General features: G+C 34.4%; 1 annotated feature.

Moving 5' to 3' along the window:
- Positions 671–965: a silencer, noted in NCBI's record as "tiled region #1938; HepG2 Repressive non-DNase unmatched - State 23:Low". NCBI's record gives its function as "represses a minimal TATA promoter and a strong SV40 promoter by Sharpr-MPRA in HepG2 cells {active_cell/tissue: HepG2}" and the evidence as "EXISTENCE:reporter gene assay evidence [ECO:0000049][PMID:27701403]".

Below are 5887 nucleotides of genomic sequence, written 5' to 3'. Positions count from 1 at the left end.
TAATTGTAGTTCCAACAAGGGCTTCACCAATGAATCTTGGAACCACAGTGCATGGGGCTCCCATATCAAGGATTCCCAGGAATTTTTCTTCACCACTTCCTGACCATTTCATTCACTTGCGTACATAAGGCTTTGGATCCCCACTAGGGGATTGAGCAAAGAGACCTTTGCCTATTTCTAAATCTTTATCTTGGTTAATCTGTCTGCTTATTGCCCCAGGCAATTACAGATTTCTGTTTGTAATCTTTGCTTTCTGATTTTTAAAATTTCCCCAAACTGGGGTACAGTGTCAGCTTAGATAGCAAACAGAGAGATAAGGTATCTAAAAGAAAATAATATTTATTTGGGAATAAGGGCATTGCAATAGGAATATATAAGTCATAGTAAACTATGTGCATATTCAGGGAGGTAAAGAAAGACAAGGTTTTTAAGGAAAAAATGAGGAGGGTTACACAATTGTTTTGAGATCATTACTCTTGGCTACAAGGATCAATAATAAGTGTGACACTAGTCCAAAGTTGAACAGGCAGTTGCTGGGCAGATGACCTTGCAGAAGTGTTTTTTGTGCAAGGTTGCAGTTTTTGCCTAGGCTTTTGTGATAGTTTTTGTTATCAGGCATTTGTTCATGAGAATTCTTCTCTTCATGACCTTCCCTGGTTCTATTTGTCAGGTTTTGCTGTTGTTTTTATTATTATTTTTTGCCTCTAGGCAAGCTTTATTCTTTGACTCCTTTATCCTGGAAGGGGACTGTTAGTTGCATCTCACCCAAATGGAATGCGATGGGAACTGGGGGTTTGAGTTGTTTGGAGAAAGAGCTGTTGTTTTTAGCAAGTGAATGTAGCTGGTGTGTGGTATCCATCAATCCTTGAGTGCTTGGCCATGCGGACTAACGAATGGTCAGAACAAACTCAGAGGTCCCCAGAGCTTTATAATACCAAGATTCAGAAGGTATAGTCAGTAAGGAAAAAGGCCATTTCCTTTAGGTATAGTAGACAGTGAAGTTTTTTTGTTTTGACTGGCTTTTAAAAAATTACCTAGGAAATGGAAAGCTTATGAACGTTCATAAGTGAATTGTTGAATTGCTACCCCAAGTGGTTTCTTTACCTAGTCACCACTTAACTGGAAATACTAGAATACACAGTTCAACCAGAATTCAACCAGGCAGATAACCTGCTTGTTGCTCAAGCAAATATCAGAGTTTTAAAAAACAAAATTAAGCAAAAAAGACCTTTCCCCAAATAGCATCATTACCACTTAGCTTTGTATGACCCATTCCTAAGAAGTGACTCCATTTCGATTCTGACAACTTTCACATTTCTCCATTTTAATCAAGATCTTTCTCTAAAAGCATCACTAATTAATCACCCTGTGGTTAGGTTTTGATTGTCCTTCAGTTCCAAGACGGCCCTATCTCAGTTTGTTTGTCTGATCCCATGTTGGAGAAAGTGAATGGTGACTACAAGTTAGTGTGAACAAAACTTTCAGCCACATTTCAGCAACAAGAGAGTTTAACCGGAATGGCTCTCAGGCTAAGTCCTCCTGGAGTCCATTATTAAGTTATTGATTTTGTCTGTTCTGTAGCTTTTTTTACTGTCATCTCAAAATGTTGGGCCAGCATTATTCTGTTAGGAGTTGTACTTCCACAAACATTTAACGAGTAATAAAGTTTAAAAAGGAAAAATACAAAATAAAATTTATAGCAATATGTAATACAATATGTATAGTGGTTTTGAACCATGGACCTAGGCTTAAAGGCAACCAATTGAATAAGTCACATTATCCTGGCAATTGAAAAAGATAGGCATTAAGAGAAGTAAGAGTCCTATTGCAGTATGAAGTCTTATTCTGATATCTTGGGAAAAGCTGTTTATAGCCTGAAAACATCAACTTCTTATCCTGGTTTGTAGTTTGAATGTCACTGGTTATGGCATCAGGCAGTTTGGTGAACTTTTTATGTGGCCCATAAATTAGGCATGAGACTTGTTCCTTAAAATTCATCTAGTTTTAGCTTACAAGGCCTTAAAGCATTTTTCGTGTTTCATAATTCTATGGAAGAAATTTGGATTAGAGAAATCTATATGAACTCAATATATAGTCTAGCCTATAGGTAGATAATGAGATCCAGAAAACAATGCACAGAGCTTCAATCTAATGACAGGTATATTATTGTCTTTTTATTAGAAACATCACTTTTTCTCTTACATTGGTCATATGGAAATCTCTGATTTAAAACCTCTTGTAGCTAGGAAGCCAAGCCAAGGCAGACTTTAGGTTTTACCTACAGTCTTAGGGTTCCTGGGCCTGCCAGAAAGTGATAATTTTGAGCTACTCACTGTAAGGATGGGAAGCATTGAAGTCAGGTAATATATGCATATTCTCAAATATGACATTTCAGTAAAAACATGAATAAAAGACATTGGTAATATAAGCAATGTTTCCAATTGTATTCTGCTATGAAAAGAGAGTAGATTTTCATTGGGCTTATGCAAATAACCCTTTTGCCATATGAATACTCACAAATAATTTACAAAATTTGGAGGACTCGAGTAGGAAGAACAAGCAAATGCTTTCATCTTTGTCCACAAAACTATATTTTACCAAGTTGCTGTAAACTATAGATAGCTTAAGAGAGAAGATTTCTCTAAATCTGGAAAACAAAATATTTAAGTAAAATAACCAATAGTGTTTTAAATAAAAGTCATAAAAACATTATCTTCAGTTATTTATTTATTTATTTAGAGACAGGGTCTTGCTTTGTTGCTCAGGCTCTATTGCAGTGGCACAATCACGGCTCACTGTAGCTGCAACCTCCTGGGCTCAAGCAGTCTTCCTGCCTCAGCCTCCCAAGTAGCTGGGAATACAGGTGTGCACCACCACACCTGGCTAATTTTTATACTTTTTGTAGAGACAGGGTTTTGTCACGTTGCCCAGATCTTGAACTCTTAGGCTCAAGCAGTCTACTCGCTTTGGCCTTCCAAAGTGCTGGGATTATGAGCATGAGCCACAGTGCCTGGCTTAACTTTAGTTATTTAATCTGATGTAATTAATTTTGTTCTGATTGGTCTTGATTAACAGTTTTATAACCTCATCAGTTTTTTTATTCAAGTTTTGAAAACATTTTATTTAATCCATTAATCTTAAAGTTATTAGAAACCTGTATTTAAGAGTGCGGGTTAGAGTTTTCCACAAATCTGAGTGCAAATGCTTTTAGAAAAGAATTTAAAAAATAATTTTGGATGACAAATATTTAGAATAGCCAAATTTAAATATAATGGAAGTTTATTATAATCAGTAGTTAACAAGGAGATCTAGTTACTTTTATGACATATAACATAATACTTAGAATTATGACTGATGACATATTAAATTTCTAAGAGTTTTATGCAATATTGGAATATTCATATAAATAACATACCACATGAATGTGACTGAAAGATCTGACATTACTTATCATTTGCCAATGTTTCCCATACAATTTACCAAATAAGCCTAATCATTTAATATCTCTACAAGATGAGAGACATATTCTTTCAAGCTCTCTGGGGGCTTCACTGGAAAATACCAAAGCTATTTCTAGGTCAAAAATACTTAATTTAGAATTTTGGTCCTGGAGAAGCCTGCCAAACATGCCAAAAAGTTTAAAACACTTGATCAAAATGGGATCACAGGTCACTGTGAAATAATTGTCATTCATTCAACCAGAGTGATGATCAAAATTCTTCAAAAGCAATACAGAAAGTTACACGGATTAAAAAAAAAAAAAACCCTTAACCCTTTTAAAGTCTAGCTTCCCTAAGTAATAATAAACCTAATAAAGACAACGTCAGAAATTATTTTGATAAAGTGTAATTTTTTTTTTAGGCCAGTGATGTGGTTAGGCTCTGTGTCCTCACCCAGATCTCTTCTTGAATTGTAAACCCCATAATCCACACGTGTTGAGGGCAGGGACCTGGTGGGAGGTAATTGGATCATGGAGTCGGTTTCCCCATGCTGTTCTCATGAGATCTGATGGTTTTATAAGTGCTTGACAGTTTCTCCTCCATGTGCATTTTCTGTCTCACCTGTTGCCATGTAAGACATGCCTCTTCCCCTTCCACCACGATTGTAAGTTTACTGAGGCCTTCCCAGCCATGTGGAACTGTGAGTTACTTAAACCTTTTTCCTTTATAAAGTACCCAGTCTCAGTTATTTCCTTACAGCAGTGTGAGAACGGACTAATACAGCCAGTTACCAAAAAGGTAAAACAAAAACCTCCTGCAATGTGATTGCTTCTTCTTATGAAAAGTCCATTTAGATAACCTGGAAGTTGAACCTGATGAAAGTGTTCTTGAATTTAATCAGACATAGGAAGAATGTGTGTCTGGTTATTACATGGAATAATTTGGATATATTAGGAAACACCAAGAGTGCAGAATCAAGTTATACTGGAGGAAAACATTGCTTTTTTAAAAAAAATGTCTTTAAGACAAACTTTTCAGCATTAGGTCATAACAGCAGAGTTTCAGGAGCTTTCAAAAAGTTGAAGGAGACACTTATCCCAGGTCATCTCAAGAAGATAAGGAACTGAAGACAATGATGCATGAATTACAAATTATGTGCTGCAAGATACAGCAAGAGTTGAACTTCTGAGGTATTAATCTGATTCATTTGATTATTGCCCCAGGCAATTTCAGATTTCTCTTTGAAATCTTTTTCTTCTGATTTTTAAAGTTTCCCCAAAAAAAGCTTGAAGAGGAAAACTCAACCTCAAGAAGTAAAATTACCATTCTAAATGAAAAAGACAGCATTTCTGACCTGAAACTAGGGGAATTAAGTGGATCTAAGGAAGCAATGTGACAGAAATAGAAACTACCTGCAGTTTAAAGTATGGCTTTTAAAGAACCAGGTTTTAGAATTAAAAATCAAAACCTGCAATTTTTACTACTGATAGATCAGTGCTTCAAAAACTTTCTACTGTAGGGGACCAAACAGGATTCTACCATAGGGGACCACATTTTTAATTTTGTATTAGTGTATTTTTAAAATCAAAGTTCATTGTTTAGAAAGACTTATAAATAATTCCCTTCTAATTATAGAAACTTGATCACACAAAAATTCCTCTCATAAATTCATCTTTCATGAACCTTACCGTGGCTTACTCAGACCATTTTGAGTGGTCTGAGTAGCTTTCTGCTTTGTCCTATACTTCCTCTTTCTTAAATAAGCAGTCATTTTCCTTTAGGAAAAAAATTATCACACAAGATTCTTTCTCATATAAAATTATTCTTTTTTCTTTGTGACCTTCCATACCATAAATACATCTTCATGCCTGTAGCTTTCTTCACGTCTCTCTCTCTCTCTCCTACTTACTAGCTCCTTTCTATCTTGTTTCTGTTTCCCATTTTTTTCTCAATAAAAACACATTTTATGCCTTTCTGGTAATTTTTTTTCATTAAAAAACACATCTTAATTTCCTGGCACACTTTATATACAGAACTATGTATTTTAATCAGAATTTTAACTGTTAGTAACCTTAATTTATAGCAAGTAATTTTGAATTATCTGTCACATATTAGCATTTTATAGAAAAGAACCATTTTATAATTTTTAGAAACATTTTTCCATAACATAATCTTCACACATATACTGAGACCCAAATATATTTAATCTCTCTATAAAATGTAAAAAGCCAAGAAAAAACATATTTATGTTCATCAATTTGTTTCCATATTGTATCTTATTTAAAAATGACCCAGACCTTTAATATCTATTATATAATTCAACATAATTTTGAGATTTCAAATTACATGAAAAGCCCATTTATAAACGTTTATTTCATTTAAATTTACGTAATTTATTTATTTTGAACAATTTACCTAGATTACTTATGAAAACTGAGATATTAGGC

Source organism: Homo sapiens, chromosome 11 (assembly GCF_000001405.40).
Source record: "Homo sapiens chromosome 11, GRCh38.p14 Primary Assembly".
Taxonomy (NCBI): domain Eukaryota; kingdom Metazoa; phylum Chordata; class Mammalia; order Primates; family Hominidae; genus Homo; species Homo sapiens.
Note: the sequence above shows the minus strand (reverse complement) of the source record. Positions and strands in the feature narration are given on the sequence as shown.